A 21,738-nucleotide genomic window follows, 5' to 3' on the forward strand; every position below is an offset into this window, starting at 1 on the left:
GGAGTTGAGATCCATAAAGCTGTCTACACCACGGCACAGTAACTGGAGAAACAGACTTGTGCCAGCCCCTAAGCTCTACAAGGTGCGTGCCTGACTCTTTGGAGTGTCTGACATTATTCACACCCACTGTGCAGAGACCTTCCCTGCAGGGTGGCTTGTGGGGTGTTCCAGGGGCAAGATGCCAAAGCTCCATGTCCAGGCTTGGGACTTCTCAGAGACCTGGGCACTGAGCCAGCTAAAAGTGGGGCTCCATTTGTCTTACTTAGCTTCCCACCCAGGGGCTATTTTGGAATAAGATACATCGGTCCCTGATACAGTGCCTGGCACAGAGCAGAACACAGTAAATGCTCCTCCTCACCCTGCTTGACCCAAAAACAAAGTGTATAAAACCTGAAAGGTGAAGACTCTTCCTTTGAGAACACATGCCCGCGTGGGCTACACCTGCTGGATACCAGCAATGCTTTAGGGAGAAGTGTGTACGCACATGTGTGCATGTAGTGTGGGCTTGTGTGTGCATGTGTGTGCACATGTGCTGGATGTGCGCTTATAAACGTATGTGCATATGTGTGCTTGTGGGCTTGTGTGTGCATGGGTATGCACACTTCGGGGTGGGGGGGGGGCACCTGAGTGTGAGGAGAGTGCCGAAGTAGCTACACACGGTGTTGTGGTGCCAGGTGCTGTTCTGAGCATTTTACACTCATCAGCACATTTAATCCTACCCATCTGATAACTTAGGGACTGTCACTATCACTGTAACCATCAACATCATTATCTTGACTTTTGCCTGTTCAGTTTGTAGGATGTTTGAACGGAGAGGCATGGGGGCTTAAGAATGTGCCCAAGTTCACTCAGCATGCATGACAGGGACAACGGTCCAACCCAGGCAGTCTGGCTCCAGGTATAGGGAATGTACTCAGCCACATGGCTGCTTGGCACCCATGTTGGTGTGGAGATACCTATGTGAGGCATCCCCCAATCCAGCACCAGCAGTTCCTGAAAACATGGGTCATGTGAACAGACAACAGGCAGAGGTTGCAATACTAACACGAAGGGAAAGCTGCTCCCACCTGGGACCTGGTGGGCAAGACCAGGCGCCCCTGCCCAGAAATGGGACCCAAGGGGCCATTCATCAGCCTTGAGCACAGGAGGTGATCCTGCTGCAAGCTTGGCCTGCTAGCTGCCAGGGACAGCTGTGAGAAACCAGTCCGAGGAGGCTCCAGGGCCCACCACTGACAGCGTCCTGGCCTTTCCACCATCCCAAGAGTGGCCTGGGCTGGTCCAGTGACACTGAGCCCCTGCTGTCTCTCACCTCAGTCAGAGCTCAACATCTGATGCCTAACAGTGGGCCACACAGGTCCACAGATGTGCCTGTTTAGCTCACATGATGTTTGAAACATTTTTAAATTAGTTATTTATAATCAAGAGATTTCATATACAAATCTGGATTCCCAGCTTCTCTTAAAAAATCCAGACGTGGTGACACCAGGCCTGAGTTCCAAAAAAAGCAACAATTGCAGAGCTCAGTAGCATCTGTGCCCTTTTGATAGGACTCACACTTGCTACTTCTCCGCAGTCTCCACCATCCCCTCTCACTTCCAACCTGGCCCATGCTCCTCTCATGTGGTCTTGACAGGTATTCGTTCACCTCTTCTGCTTTGACCTCTGGGGCACAGACTTCCCCCAAGGACACTGGGGCCAGGATAAGTAGGAAAGGTAGCAATGGGAAGCTACACCTCTCAGGACCAGAGGCCTCTGCTAGGACCTCAAATGAGCAGGCAGAGGGCATCCAGGAGGAAGTGCCCATGGGCAGAGGGTCCCATGAGGGGAGGGGCTGACCTGGCAGTGCCCCTGGTGCCTGCCGCCTGCCTCCTGCCTCCCTCCCCTTTCCTCCAGCTCTGCCCACTGCTTGAGTGGCATGAATCCGTCTGCCTTCATGGGCCTGTGAGTGGGTAGGGCCTTCTCCCTGGGTAGCGCTTTCCTCTTCGGTCTGGGCAAATTTCCCACTAGCCCTTGGAAGAAAGCTCAGAAGTCCCTGCTACGTGAGCTGCCCCAGATCCTCCCTTCAGCTTTCCCTCCCCTCTGTCACAGCCCTGCCTGCCACTACTCCAGACAGTGTGAGGACACTCCCCTCTGCTGGGTTGCTGAACTGCCCAGAGCCACATGCTGGGCTTGCAGCAGAGGCCAAGGAGAGCCAGTGAAGGAGGGGACCGAGCTCTCCAGGGCCGCCACCCATCTCAACTCACAGCGTTCAGCCCCACCCTCAGCTCACAGCTGACTGAAGGCCACAGTCAAGGAAGAGATACATGGGGAAAAAATTCCAAAATTCTCTCTGGAAGCCCATGGAGCATGGGTAATTCCACCCAGCCATCTCTTGGCTCCAGCCCGGCCTGCTGTCCCATCTCCTACCCCCAAAACTCCTGCTGTCTGTCTGTCCATCCACCTTTCCATAACCCCTATACTTTGTGCCTGGCCCCACTCTAGGAATTAGAGAGCTGCCCTGAAGGCTGTAAACATATAAATCTCCCTGGGGCCTCCCCTGCTCCCTGTTCCCCCACACACATCGTCCTCAGGATAAAGCCCAAACTTGGCAAGCAGGCAAGGCCCTGCCCTACTCCCTCCACCAGACCCTAGGGGTGCAGAGCCTGGGCCAGCCCACCATTTGTACAGTGCCTGCACATCCAAGCAGCTCCCAGCCCCAGCACAACCACTACCCTTCTGCTCCCCCATGGCGCCTTCCTGAACACTTTCCCAAAACAGGGATGGAAGAGCCAGGAAAGGGACATCCACAGGGTCCTGGGCACTTCTAGAGAGAACAGGTTCAGGGAGGAGGTGATGCTGAAGCCAACGTCTAAAGATGAGCAGGAAGAAGCCAGGTAGGCGGGTGGGGGTGCAGGGCACATGATGGAGGAGCATGGGCGTCAGAGGGCAGGGGTGAAGGAGCATGGTTGGCAGCACCCTGCCCTGGCATGGTGGGGCTGAGGTGGGGACACGGGAAAGTAGGCGATGTTCAAGGCCAAAGGTCACAGAGACAAAGATTCTGGGTCTGCACCAGCACTGGTCTGGTGGACGTCCTGGCTAACCCACTGAGGAGAGGAGCTGCCTCCCTTTCCTGGGGCTCAGTCTCTCCATCTATGAAATCTATAAAATGGGAGGATCACACCTGTCTTTAGGGGGTGCTATGAGGGCGAGACTTCCCTGAGGCCCAGCCCCCAGGTACCACCAGGCTGCAGACTGGCCCCACATTCCCAGCTGGCCACTGGAACCCTTGGAGGGGAGCTGCCAGGAGCTGTGAGGTCTCATTCCAGCTTAGCCTCCCAAGAGGCTTCCTTCCCCGCGGCCCTCCTGTGGGAGGCACCCTGTGCTGGGGCTTCTGGGCCCGGCCTCCCTTATTAGGGGCCCCACCAATCCCTCCCCTCATCAGGGTCTCTCAGGAGCCTGGCAGGGCCTGCCCCCGCCTGGCTGAACTCCCTCAGCTCTCCTGGCACCCTCGGAGGGGAGCCTTGCCAAAAACTAGTTCCAGTAGGTTTGTCAGCTCCCTGGAAACCCAGCCATCGTGTGGGTTCCTCGAGGTCCCAGCCCATGCTCTTTACAGAGCACTGGCTCTGCCACCGCAGGGGAAACTGGCAGAGGCTGCCTCTCCTCTTGATGAACTTGCTGCCAGGCCTCCCCCGCCAGCGTTCCCCTGGCAAAGCCGTCCCTCACTCCCCTCCCCGGGAATCCCACACCGGAGAGGAAGCCCAGGCAGAGCAGTCCGCTGGCTCCAATCCGCGTCCTCTATGACCCTGGGCACTGTCCTAAGCCTCTCTGAGCTGGGCTTGGCCACCTTCCGGGGTGTGAGCGTCCACGGGAGATCGACCACACCAGGCACCCAGGAGCAAGTGCTTTGAAATGCGGCTTTCTCCGGACCTTGCAGGGTCAATTCCTGGACAGGTTCTGCCTGCCCCTGAGTCCCACCCCGAAGGCCGCATCAGGGAAGGGAGACCTGGGATTCCCTCTTGGAGCTGATCCCGGAGCAGAGTGCAGCTGCGCAGCAGGTCTGCTTCAGTCATATGCCTGCTTTTCACTCTTACAGGAGCGGGCAATGACATAGTCTGGGAAGAGGCACAATGAGGAAAGTAATTCTAAAATTCTCTCTAGAGACTCCCAAACTTTGGGTAATTGGGTAATTCCACAGTTTCCCTCTTGGCTCCAGGCCTTTCTGCTCTCGGGTCCCCTGTACCCCAAAACTCACCATCTTCCATGCAACCACCCCACCCTTTGTCCGTCAGTGCAGGGACTCACTGGCCGGCCAACTCTGTCACTTCCAGGCTCTGCGCTAAGTATTAGGGAGCTTCAGAATTGCCCCCAGGGCTGTAAGCGGTAAGATCCACCAGCCAGCCGGCACAGCTGAAAACTCTCCTGCTCCCCACCCGTCCAGGCCTGGAGGAGCACAGTAGAGGCTAAGCTCACCTGGAAGGGTCCTGCCCTGGGCAGTCCACCCCAGGGCAGAAGTGATTCCCTCCTCCTGGGGCCGCCGGTCCCACACCCCTTCCTGTGGCCCAGGTAGGCTTGGGGTCAGAGCCCGAGGCTCGGATCCCGCTGTGTCCCCTCCGTAGTTCGGGGTGGGGAGGGATCCTTTGCAAGTCCCTGCGCCCCCCCCCAGACTCTAAGTCCTCGTCTCTACATGCGGGACGCCCACAGCCAGCAGGAGATTGAAGGACGCCTCCGGTCCCTGTTTCTTCCCTCGGACACGCACGACCCTCGCCCCCTGGGAACCGTCCCGCAGCACCAGATCCGCGGTGACACCCAAACTCCCCCAGGCTCCCCGCCGACCCCCGCGAGACGCATGCGCGGCGCTCTCGCCCGCTGCGCCGGTCCCAGCTTCGAGCGCCTCTATGGCCCGGAGACGCAGCTTCTCTGGCGGGCCCGGGGGCGCCCGCACCCCGTCCCGCCCCTACCTGGGGCGGCGGGCGCGCAACAAGCGGGCAAGCGGCAAGGCGGCCGCGGGCAAGCGCTGCATCCCGGAGTAGGCCCGCGCGGCCGGCATCAGGCCCATGGCGCGCCTATCGCGGCGGCGCGGCGGCGGCTGGAATGCCCGGCACGCGCGCAGGTAGCGTCTTGCCCGCCGCCCGCCCGCCCCGGCCAGCGCCGCCCCAGGCCCGGACCCTGAGGCGAGGGAAGGCCCAGGATCTGTGAGTTGCCTGGAATGCCACGCCCGAAGTCGGCCCCCGTGGGGGATCTCCGGTGTCAAACTTCACACCCTTTCCCCTAATGCCCCACGTTCCCGGGCACCGCAGGAATCCCTTCCCTCTTTGCCCAGGACCTGCTTTGGAGCGCCCGCTTAACCCTTCGCCTGGGAAGCAGGTGTTCCAGGTGAGGCAATGGAGGTCCAGGGAGGTTAGGTAACTGAGTCTGGGTCACCCAGCAAGGAGGAGGTGCTGGCTTCACAGTGGGGGTCCAGGCTCCAGGCCCTTCTGGCCTCTTCCTGCCTGGGCATCCTAGTGCCAGAGATATTGGTTTGGACTTGACATACAGTATGCCCCTGAGCAGTCTGAGGGGTATTAGCTTCCCTATATTACAGAGAATCAGAGAGGTTGTGTGATTTGCCTAAGGTCATACAGCTGGTGATGGACCTTCATTAACACCTACATGATCTTTCTGCAAAGCCTGTATTCTTCTTGGGTTAGGTTTCTGAGACCAGCCCACAATCCCCATACTTCCAAAGGGTGAGGGCTGGAATGGGTACACCAGGAAGGCAGGTGGACAGAGAGGCACGGCTAGGGGCAATGCAACGCCAGTAGCAGGGATGGGAGTCCCAAGGGTAGGAGGGCAGAATTCTTTTTTTTTTTTTAGCTTGTACTGAATATTTATTTCACACAGTAGCTGACCAAAGGTGCAGACATAATTGGAGTAACACTTGTTAGAAGAAAAATACTGTGAGTTACTAGTGAGTCCGGAATATAATACTTGAAAAAGAAAACATGGTTCAGCAAGTTATGGGTCAAGTGATAATCAGGGTGACTTCTTTCTTTATTGAATATTATTTTCCAAAACTCTGGAAAAATCGTATGTGAAAATAAATGCATGCATATTGGAAATTTCTAGTAAGGACCTGCTAGAGCTAAGCAGCCTGGGTTGAGCTAAGCCTGAGTTTAAGACCAGCTTTGTCATTTGCAAGGTGCTTACTCTGGGAAAAGTTGCTTAGAGGGCAGAATTCTTAAGGGAGGGATTTGCGGCCCTGGGGCTGGAAGAGGCTGGGGCCCTTCTTCAAGCTGGACGTGCAGAGCTGGGTCACGCCTCTTGCTCATTCTAGGCAGAGCCTGGCCTAGGGTGAAACAAGCCAGGCACTCACCACAGGGGCACAATTTAAGGGGCACCCAAAACCTCACTCAGTAACTAGGATAAACACTTTATTGTAATACTTTTAAGAATAAATATTAGGCAAAAAATCTTTGATGAACAAAAGATCAAAGTTTTCAATACAGAAAGGAGCAGCTATGCACTTGCACAGGCCTTGAGGGTGAGTGCCTCCCACCCCAATCCCACCACATTCCTGCCTTTATTTCACATGTTTGCATTTGACCATGGATGTGGTTGGCTGAATAATGCCCTTCCCCACAAGATGTCCTGATCCCTGGAACCTGTGGCTGTGTTATCTTACACAGTACAAGAGACTTTGTAGGTGTGATGAGGGCTGGAGAGGTTAACCTGGGTTATCTAAGGGGCCAGGTGCAATCATAGGGGTTCTTTTACCAGGAAGGCAGAAGGAAGTTTGACCACAGTGGAGGCGGTGGGGGCAGGACAGAGGCAGAGACTGCAGTGCTGAAGCCGCAGCCAAGGCCTTGCTGTAGCCCCTGGAAGGTTAAAGATACAAGGAACTGCTTCTCCCCATGTCCTACAAGAAACCAGTCCTGCTGACATCTGGATTTTAGCCTTAGAAGACTGGTTATGACTTCTGACCTCCAGAACTAGAAGATAATCACGTTGTGTTGTTTTAAGCTGCCAAATTTCTGGCAGTTTGTTAGAGCTGCAATGTGGACCTAATATAAGGATATTTTAGTATTCATGTTCATTTTTTAAAAGATTACAATAAAATATCTTGATTACTGAGTTTTTTTGGTGCCCCCTTACATTTTGTGCCCCAGGCCAGTGAGGATCCCTAGTCCTGGCCCTGACACTAAGTATGGGGGCTAAGGTCCTCAAAACTGGGAGTGGGGCCGCGGAGCTGTTTTCTCCCTCCCCAGAGCTCAGGTGAACATGAGGGTGCCAGGGCAGGTTGGTGCAGGGTGTCACAAGCCAAGGAATGTCTGCCCTCCACCTACCAACAGAGCCTGGCATTCCCACGGCCCAGGGACCTGCCAGCTCTGAGCAGCCCTGTCCATGTTAAAGAGCAGGGGCCAAGGGCTCAGCAGAAGCTCTCACCAACCAGGGGCCGGCAGGCTTCTCTCAGGTGGGCAGGCAGGGTCTGCTGCCCACATGTTTTCTCTGCTCTGAGCCATGGTTTCCCTGCCTGTGTCTTCAGAGTCAGACTGGCCAGTCTCTGCAGAGTGCCCTCCACCCCTACCCAGGAGCCCCACATGGCTAGAGGCCTGCAGGCACCACCCATTAGAAGGCTCCGGCAGGCACTGCCACATTGAGCTCCAGGTGAAGCCCTGGCCCTGCCAATGCCCACCCCACCTCAGGGGTGGTTTTTAGCTGTGGGGCCTGTTGGGGATGGGAGTGCAGAGACAGTCATGAGACTGCCTTCTCAGGGCAGGGCTGGGGAGCTGACAACCTGAGTCTGTCCAATCACACAAGCAACCCAGTTAACAGTTGGCCTCTTCACTCTGGATGGTCTTTGTCTCTGAGCTGTGTGTACAACAGCTCCCTGGCTAGGGCTGGGATCCAGGACCTTAGGGACTGCCTCTTCCTTCAGTCTTAATTATGCCCCCCTCCCCAACCAAGACAACTCAGATCTAGTGGGTAGAATGCGCTGAGGCCTACCTGGCAACAGCATCCAGCGATGAGCTTACCCTGGAGGTGGGCTGCGCTGCCCCCAGCCCCACTGTGTGTTGTTAGGTAAGTTGCTGAACCTCTGAGTCTCTGCTGCCTCCAGATTGTACCAAACTCCTGGCAAGGGCAGCCCATAGCCAGTGTGAGCTCCCTTCCTCTTCTCTCAGGGTGTGTGGGCTGAAGTCCTCCAGGGCCACTTGGAACAAGCTGAGAGACAAAGATCCCAACCCTAGGACACCCTGAGGCTTTCTGGCATCCTGCTCTCTACAGCAGGCAGCCAGCACCCAGGCTCTGCACTCCAGCCGACTAGGTTGAAATGCCAGCTTCCCACTTATTTGTGGTCTGGACAAAATGCTGGAGCCTCCTTGATTCTGTCTCCTCACCAAAAGTGGGATATAATGGGACTGGTTTCACAGGGCTATTGTCAGGCTCAGCAGGGACACAGAGTCCAGGATAGGAAATGCTGGGGTCCCCAGGGGTTCATCCCCATCTTATCAATAATGGAGACAAACTCTTTTCTGGTTCTGTGATCTGAGGTCTATTGAAGCCAGACTGAAACCAAACTGGCCAAGCTGATGGGCATTTCTCATCAGAGCTGCTGAGAAGGAAGGGCTTAATGAACCAGCAAGGTGGTTAAAAGAGTGTTGAACGTTAGCGTCCTGACCTTTGCAGGAAGCAGTAGTGACAGCCCCCTGTAAATCATCCCGACTAGCTTACCAGGCTCTCCCTAGATAAGGCAGCTGCTCGGGCCTTTGTTCTGGTAAACAGCTCTGTGGCTGTCCCATCAGCAGGGGTGGGGGAGGGTGGCTGTGGCTGGAGGCCATTTCCTCTGCCTTGGGGATCCAAGTTCTCAGGCTCCTGGGGCTCTGGCAGGGGAGAAGCCTTGAGCGCTGCAGGGGAAGGAGGCCCAAGTGTGCTCTGAACACCCTCTATACCCAGAAGAGGCCAGGCCTGCCCTCTATGAGCCTGGACAGGATCCAAGGTCCATAGGGACATCTTCTCCACTTGAGTACATGGACCCTTAGGGCCCACTAGAATGGATGGAAGGCACCAGAACTAGTCTCAAGTACCCCTTCTGCTGGCTTAGTGACCTGAGGCCTAGCCCAGGTCTGCAAGAGTCCTTTCTCTCCCCTTTTGGAAGGGCTGCCTGGAAAAGCCCAGGCCCACTGGCCAGGCAGGTTGACATTCACAGGAACTAGAAATAAGACTGTCTTCTTGAATCTCCCAGGAGGGCTGGGATATAGAGCAAGCAGTGCTGGGGAGAAGTGGTCCACTAGGACCTTGGGCTCTACCACTGGCAGCCTGGCCTGGGGGTAATCACCTTTCACTCTGAATCTGATTATGCCTCCAGGGCTTCCTTTTAGAGATGTCATTCCATCAAATGATGACCACTACCAGCTAACAAGGTTGCATTTCATCCCACCAGGTTGTCCCAAGGTTGGATTTTTTTCCATGTCACATGTCCTGCCCTAGGGCTTCAGGGAGCTGTATTTCTCCCTTCTTTTTTCCACCCATGATTCCAGAGGAACCCAAGGGCAGGAGAGTTGACTCCTGGGGGTCTGAGAAAAGCCTCCAGAGGCCTGTGAGATTCCCACACAGCCAGGCCAGGGCAGTGCAGTTCCGATGATGACCACAGGCCTACTGCCTGTCTCCGGCCCCCATGCCCCGCCCCAGCACCAAGCAGTCACTCTGGGCAGGGACACCTTTTCCCAGCTGGGCTCCTAGCCCCAAGACTGCCTTCTGCGCTGCCACTGGTAAGGTTGGGACAAACAGCTTCAGGGCTTTGCTTGGCGGTGCCTGCTGGCCATAGTGGAACTGTTACCACAGTGCTAGTTAGCACCAGTCCCAGCCCCCAGACTTCTGAATCCAACTGCCCGCTCAGCATCTCCACTGGTTTAATGACTCATAGACACCTCAAACCTAAACGTGTCCAAACAGAGCTATGGCCTTGCCATAGCCTCCCAAACCAGCTCTGTGCTAAGTCTTCCCTTCTTACTTCATAACAACTCCAGCCTCCAGATGCCCAGCCAGACACCATGGAGTTAGCCTCCACTGCGCCCTTCCTCACATCCACAGCCAGGAGAGCTTATCATCCTACTTGCAAAATAGATTTGGAATCTGATCACTTTCACTACCCTGACCACAGGGAGAGCACCCCCTTCTCTTGCCTGGATTATTGCAAATTCATCTCCAGCTCCCCCTTGTACAACTCTGGTCAGCAGGCAGAGTGGTCCTCTTAAATGATGTATTACATCAAGACATTTCTCGGCTCAAAGCCCTCCAATGCCCCCTCCTCATTTCAGAGTAACAGCAGCTGGGCCAGGTGCGGTGGCTCACACCTGTAATCCCAGCACTTTGGGAGGCCGAGGTGGGTGGATCATGAGGTCAGGAGTTGGAGACCAGCCTGGCCAAGATGGTGAAACCCTGTATCTACTAAAAATACAAAAATTCACTGGGTGCGGTGGCGGGTGCCTGTAATCCCAGCTACTCGGGAGGCTGAGGCAGGAGAATCGCTTGAACCCGGGGGGGAAGAGGTTGCGTTGAGCCCAGATAGCATCACTGCACTCTAGCCTGGGTGACAGAGCAAGACTCAGTCTCAAAAAAAGAAAAAAAAGAAAAAAAGAGTAACAGCGGCTGGGTGTGGTGGCTCATGCCTGTAATCCCAGCACTTTGGGAGGCCGAGGCAGGTGGATCATTTGAGGTCAGGAGTTCGAGACCAGCCTGGCCAACATGGTGAAACCCCTGCTGTACTCAAAATGCAAAAATTAGCCGGGTATGGTGGTACGTGCCTGTAATCCCAGCTACTCAGGAGGCTGAGGCAGAAGAATTGCTTGAACCTAAGAGGCAGAGGTTGCAGTGAGCCAAGATTGTGCCACTGCACTCCAGCCTGGGCAACAGAGCGAGACTCTGTCTCAAAAATAAAATAAAATAAAATAAAACAAAATAAAATAAAATAACAGCTAGAGTACTAAAAGGGGCCCAGGAAGCCTCTACCTTCTGGCCACTCCCATGTGGCTCCCTTCCTCACTCCCTCCAGCCCATCTGCCTCTGTGCTGCTTCTAGACCACATCAGATGTTCTGCTTTTGCCCAAGCTATGGCGTCAGTCTAGCACACTTCCACTAGATGTCCCCTTGGCTCACTCTCTCACCTCTTTCAACACCGTATGAACAATGAGATAACACTTCATACCTGTTAGGATGGCTATTAAAAAAAAAACCAAAAAAAACAGAAAACAAGTGCTGGTGAGGATGTAGATGAACTAGAAAACTTGTGTACTGCCAGTGGGAATATAAAATGGGGCAGCCACTGTGGAAAATGGTCTGGAGGCTCCTCAAAAAATTAAAAATAGAATTACCATATGATCTAGCAATCCCACTTCTGGGTATATACCCCAAATAATTGAAATCAGGGACTCAAAGAGATATTTGCACCCTCATATTCACAGCAGCATTATTCACAATAGTTGAAACACAGAAGCAACTCAAGTGTCCATCAATGGATGAATGGATAAACAAATGTGGTATATCCATACAATGGAATATTATTTGAGCTTAAAAAAGAGAGAAATTCCAATATTCCACATAGATGAAACTTGAGAACATTATGCAAAATGAAATAAGCCAGTCACAAAAAGACAAATACTACAGGATTCTACTTACATGAGGTGCTTAGAGCAGTCAAATTTATAAAGACAGAAAGTAGAATGGTGGTTGCCCAGGGCTGGAGGGAGAAAGCCAGAGTTTCAGTTTGGGAAGATGAAAAAGTTCTGGAGAGGGATGGTGGTGATGGTTGTACAACAGTGTGAATACACTTAATGCCACTGAATTGTACACTGTACACTGCTTTCTTCCCTGCTGAGTCCTCTGCCTGCATGTGACAGGTCTCAATAAGTGTTTAATGAATGAATGAGGACTATTTAGTACTCAGAGAACGCTGAGGACTATTTAGTACTCAGAGAGCGCTGAGCACTTTATGTCCATTTTCTCTCTTAATTCTTATGACAATCCTGCAAAAAAGATATTATTCTTCCTATTTTGCAAACAAGGACACAGAGGTACAGCGAAGATAAGAGGTGTGCCAGGTCATGCAGCAAGCAAGTGGCAGAGCCAAATCACACCTAGACCCAAGCCTGTTGCCAAAGCCTCACTCTGCCTCCTCTCACACTTCAATGCAATGGGCTTGGCTAAACCCCTTCCTATGCATATAAATTCCAGGCTTTAAGGGGGCTTGCAGACTCTCTGCAGACAACCAGGCAAGGGATACACATGTTCAAGCACCCACCAGATGCCGAGGCAGCCCTGGGGACCCGGTGACTATTGTCTCCCTTCTCTCTCCTCTCAGAGAGAGCTGGCAAGGAGGTACTGCGCCATGCATCCTTCTGGGGCTGCGTTCCCTGAACTGGGCGTGGAAGTTCAGAGATCAGTTTGAGGAGTATTGGCCTCTTAACAATATCAACTCTTCTCATTCCTGAACATGGGATGTCTTTCTTCTTATTTAGATCTTTTTCAATTTCTTTCAGCAATGCTTTGTTATTTTCAGAATATAAGTTTTATACTTTTTTTTGCTAAATTTATCCCTAAGTATTTTATTCTTTTGGATGCTCCTGTAGATGAAATTTTCTTAATTTCGTTTTCAGTTTGTTCATGGCTACTGTACACAAATAAAATTGGTTTGTATATACTAATCTTGTATCCTTCAACCTTGCTGAATTTTTAATTAATTCTAATAGTTTTTTTGTACTTTCTGTACACAAGATCACGCCATCTGCAAACAGAGATACTTTAATGTCTTCCTTTTAAATCAAGCTTCATTTTATTTCATTTTCTTGCATAATTGACCTGGCTAGAACCTCTAGTACAATGCTGAATAGAAGTGGTGAAGGCAAGAATCCTTGTCTTGTTCCTGATCTTGGAGGAAAATTAGCCAGTCTTCCTCGATTAAGTATGTTATTATCAGTGGGCTTTTTGGAGATGCCCTTTATCATAGGAATTCCCTTCTATTCCTAGGGATAGAATAGAAGTTCACTTCTATTCCTAGTTTCTGGAGTGTTTTAATCATTAAAGGGTGCTGGATTTTATAAAATGCTTTTTCTAGTCTACTAAGACGGTCATGTGTTTTTGTCCTTTATTCTGTTAATATAGTACATTAATTGATTTTCAGACATTAAATCACCCTTCCATTCTTAGAGACGATAAATCTCATTTCATCATGGCGTATAATTCTTTGGATTCAGCATGTTAGGATTTTGTGGATGATTTTTGTATCTATATCCATAAGAGACACTGGTGTTCCAGCAATAATTCTCTGTCCCTCCTACACCATCAATCTTTTGCAATGATGCTTTGTCTTCCAACTTAAAAAAATAAACCAACTTCCTCTTTACCTCACCTCCTCCTCCAGCTGCTGTCCCCATTTCTCTCTTTCCCTTTTCTGCAAACTTTTTGAAAGAGTTGGCTATGCTGACACTCCAATTCCCCTCCTATCATCCTTTCTCATTCCCACTATTATCAGGCATTCCACAAAAGCCCCTTTGCTCAAGTCACCAATGACTGCTCAGCTTTCATCCTCTGGTTGATCTATCAGCAGCACTTGGCTGCAGTTGATCACTGCCCTTGTTCCTTCACTTGGCTCAGGGTGGCTTCTGGCTCTCCTCCCTCTTGGGGCTTGCTCTCTTTCTCACCCCTCTGCTGTCCCTCCACTCGCTCTGTGCTGTCTCATTCAGCCTTATGACTTCAAACCCCATCTATGTGCTGATGGCCCCCTAAATACTCTCTCTAGCCCAGTCCTCTCTCCTGATTTCTAGGCTGAAATATCTACCTGCCTACTTGACATCTAAACTTGAGCATCTTATAGGTATCTCAAACTAGGCCCATATCTTCCTTCCAAATAGCTGCAGTTCCCGTAGTCTTTCTATCTCAGCTAACTCATTAGCTTCCCATTGCTTAGATCAAAACATCCCAGAATTATCCTTAACTTCTCTCATTCATTCTCATACACCTCTCATCCATCTTAGCAGGGGAATACCACTGGCTCTACCTTCAGAATAAATCAAGAATTCAATGACTTCTTATCGCCACCACCACTGGGCCAGGCCACCCTCACCTCTCACCTGCACTGTTGTGTAAGGAGCTCCTAACTGGCTTTGGTCTTTCCTCAACATGACAGCCAGAAGGATCCTGGTAGAAGATGGGCCAGGTTCTGCCACTTCTCTATTCCATGCCATGAGGTGCTAACAGCTCTACCATGATGACAAGGCCATTCATTCTTTGGTCTCTCTCCTCCCCTTTGCCCACTCTGCTCTGGCCACACTGGCCTCCTTGCTGTTCTTCCGGGATGGGCCCCCTACCTCTGCCTGTGCTGTTATCCACCCTTTCTTTCCTTCTACTCAAAAGTCACCAAACCCTAACCCTATCTCTTGTGTTCCCCTCCCTGCCTCTTCTGTCCCCACTGTGCCCACCATCTAACCTGCCATGTGCCTGCTCAGCTGGTCACCCGCCTCCTCTACTAGCACGTGAGAACCATGAGGCCAGTGCCTGTCCCTCCAGCTCGCTGCTGTCTCCTCAGCCCCTAGAACATTTGCGAGTCCATTGCAGGTTGGCTGAATGACCAGATGAATTCCCAAATGAGAGGCACTCCAGCTGTGGCCACAGCTTGGTGGGCTGGGCAGGCCACCAGCAGTGAGGCTCCCCTGACCACTGGCTGCTCCCACTTCTCAAGGGGATGGCTGGGCTGTCCCATCTGCAGCAGGCACGCCACCCACTCCTGTCTGTCAGAGGTGGCCTGCCGGTGCCAGAATAAGCACCCCAGGAAGGGCTCAGGGGCTCTGTTACAAAACAGTCAAAAAAGGACTGATCCTCTAAGCCTCCTTCCCAGGGGATGCAAGCTAATAACAGCTCTGCCAGAAAACCTTCAGGGGCCGACTGAGCCCACCTGCCAGCACCATGCATGCCCAGACACGTCTGGCATCGCTAACTCCTGAGATTTCTGCATTTCCTCTGTACTCCCGGGAGAAAGGAGATAAGCGCCTTTGATGGCAGTTCCTGTTTTAATGGTTGTGAGTTCTTCAGCACACAGCCTGGGAAGGCAGATAAATGCCAGGCCTGGGGAAGGGGTCAGTCTAGGGTCTATGTGGGATTCTGCCAAAGATCCCCAATTCTGGGCAAGCACAGAGGGAGATGGACATGTGGCCGGGGAGCCAGGCCTGCTGGGTGCAGGTCTTGGTGCAGCTCTTGGACGGGCTATTTGGGCCAGGACCAAGCACAGTCTTTGAGGCCAGAACATCCACCTCCACTTCTCAGTTCTGCCCCCTTGCTGGCTGTGTCATCTTGGGCAAGTCATCTCACTTCTTTGACCCAAGTTTCTCCCTTTGTTTCATTTATTTTTTATATGCACACATCTAGAAAAGCACTTAAAGCATAAATATGCAGATAAACATGTCATTGTAAAAGGAACACCTGTGTAACTACCCAAGCCAAGCTAGAGAACATTTAAGATATGTATGCCCCTCTCCCATCCCATCTTAACCTCTTCCCTCCTCCCTACTATCCTGACTTTCATAGCATTCATTTCTTTGCTTTTCTTTATATTCTGTTGCCTATCTATCTATAAATAACAAGTTTACTTCTGCCCTGTGTTTCAACTTTATATAGGTAGATAATACAACATGTTATTTTGTTTGTTTGGGTTTAGTTCCACATTGTTTTTAAGATTCATGCATGTAGGTGGCACTGTAGTGGATTCATTCCCATTGTTGTGGAGTTTCCCACTGTAAGACTGAGTCATAGTTATTTATCCATTGTATTGTTGCTGGGCACTTGGGTTAGTGTCAGGCTATCATCAATAAGGCTGCCATGAACATCCCATGTATCCAAGTCTCCTGGCATACCTGTACACACATTTCTATGTAGGACATGCTTCATATGGAATTGCTGGGACACAGGTGTGCACAGCATCAACTTCAGCAGACACTGCTGATTTCCCTAGCAATATGTGCAAGTTTCTATAGCTTTCTATCCTCATCACGACTTGAAACTGTCTTTTTCATTCAGTCATTTAGTCATTCTGGTGGGTGCATACAAGTATCCCATTGTGATTTAATTTGCAATTCCCTGATTACTGATGAGGTTGTGCGCAGGAGCCTATGTTCACTGGTCATGAGGATTTCTTATTTTAGGAAATGGCTGTCCAAGTCTCTTGCCCACGCTTCTGCTGCCTTGTCTGTTTTTGCCTCATTCATTTGTAGGAGTTTGGGGAGTGAGTAATTTGATGACCACATGTGTTGCAAACGCCTTCACCCAATGTATAGCTTATCTTTTCATTTTCTTAATCTACCTTTTACAAACAGATGCTCTTCATTTTATAAAATATAATTTATCAACAATTTCATAATAGATTAGTGTTTTTTTGTAACTCATTTAAAAATTCTTTCTCTACCCCAAGATTATGATAATGTTCCTTCCCTGGTGCTCAAAAGTGCCACCTGTCATACATCAAAGTCCAACTATGTAAGATTCTGCTTCTGGGCTCTATTCTGTTCCACTGGTTCACTTTCAGCAACCTGGAACCAAAGCCACTGTGAGGCTGCAGAAATCCCTGGGTGGGCTCAGACCTTTCCAGGCCATTAATCTAGGGCCCTAAGTCAAATGTGCTGCAACCTTCAGGGATCAAGGAGACCAAGGCTGACAGTGTGATATCATTCATGAAGCCTGAGAGAACAACTTTCACTCTCAACATTATATTGACTCTTCCTTGTGAGGGATTTATCATTCAATGAAAGGTGGTCAGGTAGACCATAGCCAGGGGTGGGAGAGGAGAGTGGGCAAACAGAGGAGCAAAGGAAGGGGCTCAGCCCATGTGGCTTGTGAAATCTGGAGACTGGCCCAGAGCCCCAAAAGGTGAGTCCCTGCCCAGACTGTGTGCTGATCAAACACCATAGGGAGAAAGAGGACGTCCATAGCTTGTGTGGTCAGAGCCCAGCCAGCTTTCAGACTCCCAGTCTCCACATTCAGCAGGGAGTCGGTGGCCCTGGCCCCAATGCCATGGTGATCCCATTATGAAAGATCTTTTCATGACCACTTCATATGGACACCGACCTAGAGATAGCGACTGCACGGCTGGGAGTCACCTTTCATTTCTCTCATACCCCATGTCCAGACCATAGGCAAAACCTGGCAGCTCCACCTTAAGGATACACCTGCAGCTGGCCACTTTGCACCATCAGCTGCATGCCCACCCCATGGACTCTCCTGGCCTGCTGTGTCTACTGCTGTCCCTCTATGGTCCACTCCTCATGTGGTGGCCAGGGCACCTTTTACATAAATCTGACTCAGGTCCTGTGTGTCTCCTGCTCTGAGCTCTCCTGGTATCCCACTGTATACAGAACAAAATAAAAAATCCCCACCAGGACCCCAAGGCCTTGGTGACCACTCTTACCTCAGGCCCTCCCACTCGCCTGGTCTTCACTCCCTCGGGGCCCCGGCCTTCCTGACATGCCTCGTGTTCCCAAAGCTCGTCCCTACCTCGGGGCCTTCGCACGTGTCCATGTCTCTGCTGGAATGCTCTTCCCCAGCATGCCCCTGGCTCCCCGTTGCTGCATTAAGCCTGCTTGGCCACTCCACCTAACCACACCCCCGCCGTCCTCTCACTGAGCTTCAATGGCTTTGTGACATGTCTCACCCCTGGACACCACGAGACACATGTCCTTGTCTACCATCCCTCCCACAGAGAATGGAGATGAGGGAAGGCGGAGGTGTGGCCTATCCTCATGAATTCCTCACCCCTGGAATAGAATCCAGTACATTTAGATGTCTAATACACAGTTTTCAATAAAGGAGGAAGTGAGTACACGGCAGCCGTTGGGTGACTCCCGAGGGCTGGCAGTGGAAGGGCCAGCCTGCTGTGAGAAGCACAGGATGCAGCCAGCAAGTCCTCAGTGAGCAGGGTCTTTGGGGCTCAGGACAGGCAGGGGGCATGATTACCTGGAGGCAAGGGTTCTAGAGGGTGGGCATGCGATCTACGGGCAGTACCTCCGCCCAGCGGGGCCCAGATGACTCGGCGGATGGCCTGCACCCAGTCCTCCATGTCACGCTGGGAGCTGGCCATGAGCAGGAGCGCCTCGGGGTTGGCCGGCACCTTCTCCCGCTCCCCGGCACCACCTGCAAGACAGGGAGACACAGGCTTACGCAGGGTCCCTGCCCGCAGCACACTCTCCACCGCCGGCACTAGTCAGCATTACTCCCTGTGGGATATTCCCAAAGTCCTTCCAGCAACAGCTGAGCTTTGCTTTTATCTCACAGTCCATCCCTTTCACAACTCATATCTCTTTCTTTGGAGTCTTTTCCCATTTTCTCTTTTTTCCCTTCGTCTCACTTTGCTATTTTCCCATGCCAAAATAGAAATAATTTAATGCACTCCAGGACACTATTAGAAAATAAAGCATGCAGATGTTAGGCCAGCTCAGAGACTTTCAGTGCCCCAGGGTGGCCTCACTTTATGCTTTGTTTCAAATCAATTTTGCCCATTTTAAGAACACAGTTAAACGTCACTATGTGCTTTTAACTTTGGCTCGGAGATTAGGGCCTCCCTTCCCCATCCTGAAGACAAGAGTCTCCGTATATATTAAGGTCACAGAGGCTGGATGTTAAACCAGGATGCAGCACAGCACCCCAGAATTCTCCACCACACCCATCTCACGGCTAGACAGTGGATCGGCACCTAAAGGCAGAAGGATCGGAAAACTCAGACAGTTGCTTGTGAACTGACTTTCCCCTCTTTGGTTCTCAAGTTTTCATGTGTAAGCAAATTGATCTTTGGGAAATACAAAAAACTATTTATACTGAACTTCACAGGTAATTTTAGGGTTTTCAAGAATGAGTTTGTCTTTATACATCCTACCCCCCGACATCCCTGGACTATCTGCCAGTAGGGTGTGAGATCCACAGACCTGTGTTCCCATGGGGTGGGTGGGCCCAAGCCACGCTTTGCTGGAGCCTGTGACCCAGGGATGGAGAGCAGACAGGACCAGCGCTTACTGAGCACCTGGTACGTGCCTGGGACACTTCTGGTAAGCACAGCTGCCACACACATGCCCTCCTGGGGTTCTTTATCCTCCACAGTGACTCCATGAGGAAGGTACTATTTCCAACCACATTTTACAGATGAGAAAACTGAAGCACAGAGGAATTAAGTAACCTGTTGAATGCACACAGCGAATGAGTGGCACAGCCAGAGATTCAAGTCCCGACTCTGGGCTCTCAGCCATCCCACTCTCCCTCCTGCCATCTCTCCGCCAAGAACTGGGGAAACCAAGCAGGCTGCTCTGAGGGCTGAGGCAGAGGGTGGGGCTGTGTCCTGGCTGAGGGCACCACAGCGGGCCCGTGGGGAGGCAGGGGGAGAGGCCGTGGGGCCCAACGCTCAGGAGGGTGAGGAGCAGCCAGGGCTCTGTGATAACCTCTGGAGCCCTTCACTACGCAGATAAGCCCTGCTCGCCGGGGCTCAGGCAGCCGCTGGGCAGCAGAGCTGTGGAGGTCGGTAGGAAGGAAGCTGGAGGCTGAGACAGTGGAGCCCAACCCCAGAGGCTGCTCGGTTGGCTGGTGTGGTCACTCACAGGACTGTGGGCATTGCCACCTACCGAGGTTGCCACCTGGAAGCAGCTCTGCCTTGGGGACAGCAGTGCTGCACAGCATTTGGGCTACGAAGGCTGGAATGGCTGAGTGTGCGAGATAGGGAGAGGAAGCCAGATGTCACCAGGAAGCTTTTCTATGTCAGCATTCCTAGAAAAATATCTCAAGATGACTTGGAAAAAAAAAAGGAACCTGGAGATCCACAGCTCCAGGAATTTGTGGTTACTTGGTTTGTCCTAAATATTCACTTTTGTACCTAATCTTGAATTTCTCATTTGAAAATTATTTTCCCTGAAGAGGGCCACCCAAGTCACACAAGCTTCAGGCCCCACAAAACTTGGATCTGCCCTGCCCAGAGCTGTGCCCCTGTCCTGGGTCCTGCCCCAACGTGCTCTCAGCCTGTCTAACTTTTTAAGTATTTATATATATTTTTATATATGCATAACTGTTAAGGAAATGGCCACACACTGTTCTGCAAAGTGACTACTCCATTTTACTTTCCCGCCAGCTGTGTATGACAGTTCTGGGACCCCCACATACACACCAACACTAGCTATGCTCAGACTTTTTACTTTTAGCCATCCGAATAGGTGTGCAGGTGTTTGAATTTGCATTTCCCAAATGACTGATGATATTGGACATCTTTTATGTATTTAGTTGCTATCTGTGTGTCGTTTTTGGTGAAATATCTGTTCAAATCTTTTGCCTATTTTTAAAATAGATTATTTATTTTCCATTATTGGTGTTGAGAGTTCTTGACATATTCTGGATATAAGGCCTTTACCAGATATTTGCTTTGCAAATATTTCTCCCAGTCCATGTCTCTCTCTTTTTTCATTCTATTAACAGTGTATTTCCAAGAGCAGAAGTTTTTAATTTTGCAAAGTCCAATTAATCATTTTTTTCGTTTATTGAGTGTGCTTCCTGCATTGTATCTAAGAAATCTTTACTTCATCTAAGGCCATAAAAGTTTTCTTCTAGGTTTTCTTTCAAAAGTTTCACAGTTTTAGGATTTACATGTAGGTCTATGAGTTACTTTTTGTATATGGGAGAAGGTGTAATTGAAGTTCATTCTTTTGCATATGCACATTCCAGCCCCACTTGGTGAAAAGTCTATCATTTCTCTACAGACACCAGTGAACCTCCATGTGCAATCGTGCTATCTGCAAATAGAGACAGTTTACTTCTTCCTTTCCAGCTGGGAATCGTTTCTTTCTTTCTTCTTCTAATGACACTGACCAGAGCCTCAAATACCATGTTGAATAGAAGTGGTGAGAGCAGACATTCTTGCTTTTTCCTGTATCTTATGACAAAAGCATTCGGCTTTTCACCATTAAGTCTATCTGCTATAGGCTGTTTGAAGATGTCCTTAATCAGGTTGAGAAAGTTCTTTTCTATTTCTAATTTGCTGAGAGGTTTTTTTTATTGATACATAATATTTGTACATATTTATGGAGTACATGTGATGTTTTGTTACATGCATAGAGTGTGTAATAATCAACTCTAGGAATTTGGGGTGTCCATCACTTCAAGTGTTTATTATTCCTATGTGTTGGGAACATTTCAAGTCCTCTCTTCTAGTTATTTTGAAATATGCAATACATTGTTGTTAACTATTGTTACTCTACCCTGCTATGGAACATTAGAATTTATTCTAACTCTATGTGTGTACCCATTAACCAACCTCTCTTCATCCCCCTCTCTGCTTGACTCTTCTCAGCCTCTGGTAACCATCATTCTAATCTCTACCTCCATGAGACAAACTTCTTTTCAGCTCCTACATATAAGTGAGAACATGCAATATTTGTTTTTCTATGCCTAGCTTATTTCACTTAATATGCTGGTTCCATTCATTGCTGCAAATGACACGATTTCATTCCTTTTCTATGGCCGAATAGTATAACATTTTGTATATATACCACAGTTTCTTTATCCATTCATCCACTGATGGACACGTAGGTTGATTCCATATCTTTGCTATTGTGAATAGTGCTGCAATAAACATTGGGGTACATTAACGTATTTATGCCAAGTGTTCCATTATTGGAATGCTAAGCTTGTGGGAGTTATGCATATCCTACTGCTCAAGGTCACTGCCAAGGTCTGATTTTTCCCCCAAAAATTTGCAACCTCCGGCATAAATGG

General features: G+C 50.6%; 1 protein-coding gene across 34 annotated transcripts in view, besides 7 other annotated features; it reads right to left on the bottom strand.

Moving 5' to 3' along the window:
• The window catches only part of ARHGAP22 (Rho GTPase activating protein 22), a 226,435-nt gene that overhangs the window by 31,808 nt on the left and 172,889 nt on the right, over positions 1 to 21,738 (bottom strand). For 14 of the 34 annotated variants that reach the window (NR_045675.2, NR_144646.2, NR_144645.2 and 11 more), the window contains one exon: positions 17,998 to 18,126. The exons of 5 other annotated variants lie outside the window; for them this stretch is intronic. Coding sequence is in view for 24 of the 29 variants with exons in the window: in XM_024448100.2 (XP_024303868.1) it covers positions 17,998 to 18,126 (129 nt within the window). In the remaining 5 variants the exon portion in view is untranslated. 15 more of the 34 variants (XM_011540013.4, XM_011540003.2, XM_011540015.4 and 12 more) reach the window with 6 other exon arrangements.
• Positions 1,692 to 2,625: an enhancer, noted in NCBI's record as "H3K4me1 hESC enhancer chr10:49671373-49672306 (GRCh37/hg19 assembly coordinates)". NCBI's record gives its function as "activates a minimal SCP1, AML or CMV promoter by ChIP-STARR-seq in naive H9 embryonic stem cells {active_cell/tissue: H9 hESC(naive)}" and the evidence as "EXISTENCE:reporter gene assay evidence [ECO:0000049][PMID:30033119]".
• Positions 2,626 to 3,557: an enhancer, noted in NCBI's record as "H3K4me1 hESC enhancer chr10:49672307-49673238 (GRCh37/hg19 assembly coordinates)". NCBI's record gives its function as "activates a minimal SCP1, AML or CMV promoter by ChIP-STARR-seq in naive H9 embryonic stem cells {active_cell/tissue: H9 hESC(naive)}" and the evidence as "EXISTENCE:reporter gene assay evidence [ECO:0000049][PMID:30033119]".
• Positions 5,238 to 5,434: a silencer, noted in NCBI's record as "fragment chr10:49674919-49675115 (GRCh37/hg19 assembly coordinates)". NCBI's record gives its function as "represses an EF-1alpha promoter that drives an FKBP-Casp9 reporter gene in an ReSE screen in HepG2 liver carcinoma cells {active_cell/tissue: HepG2}" and the evidence as "EXISTENCE:reporter gene assay evidence [ECO:0000049][PMID:32094911]".
• Positions 8,345 to 9,227: an enhancer, noted in NCBI's record as "NANOG-H3K27ac-H3K4me1 hESC enhancer chr10:49678026-49678908 (GRCh37/hg19 assembly coordinates)". NCBI's record gives its function as "activates a minimal SCP1, AML or CMV promoter by ChIP-STARR-seq in primed H9 embryonic stem cells {active_cell/tissue: H9 hESC(primed)}" and the evidence as "EXISTENCE:reporter gene assay evidence [ECO:0000049][PMID:30033119]".
• Positions 14,888 to 15,182: an enhancer, noted in NCBI's record as "tiled region #4601; HepG2 Activating non-DNase unmatched - State 22:ReprW". NCBI's record gives its function as "activates a minimal TATA promoter and a strong SV40 promoter by Sharpr-MPRA in HepG2 cells {active_cell/tissue: HepG2}" and the evidence as "EXISTENCE:reporter gene assay evidence [ECO:0000049][PMID:27701403]".
• Positions 17,270 to 17,927: an enhancer, noted in NCBI's record as "H3K4me1 hESC enhancer chr10:49686951-49687608 (GRCh37/hg19 assembly coordinates)". NCBI's record gives its function as "activates a minimal SCP1, AML or CMV promoter by ChIP-STARR-seq in primed H9 embryonic stem cells {active_cell/tissue: H9 hESC(primed)}" and the evidence as "EXISTENCE:reporter gene assay evidence [ECO:0000049][PMID:30033119]".
• Positions 17,928 to 18,584: an enhancer, noted in NCBI's record as "H3K4me1 hESC enhancer chr10:49687609-49688265 (GRCh37/hg19 assembly coordinates)". NCBI's record gives its function as "activates a minimal SCP1, AML or CMV promoter by ChIP-STARR-seq in primed H9 embryonic stem cells {active_cell/tissue: H9 hESC(primed)}" and the evidence as "EXISTENCE:reporter gene assay evidence [ECO:0000049][PMID:30033119]".

The sequence above is a fragment of the Homo sapiens genome, chromosome 10, assembly GCF_000001405.40.
Source record: "Homo sapiens chromosome 10, GRCh38.p14 Primary Assembly".
NCBI lineage: Eukaryota > Metazoa > Chordata > Mammalia > Primates > Hominidae > Homo > Homo sapiens.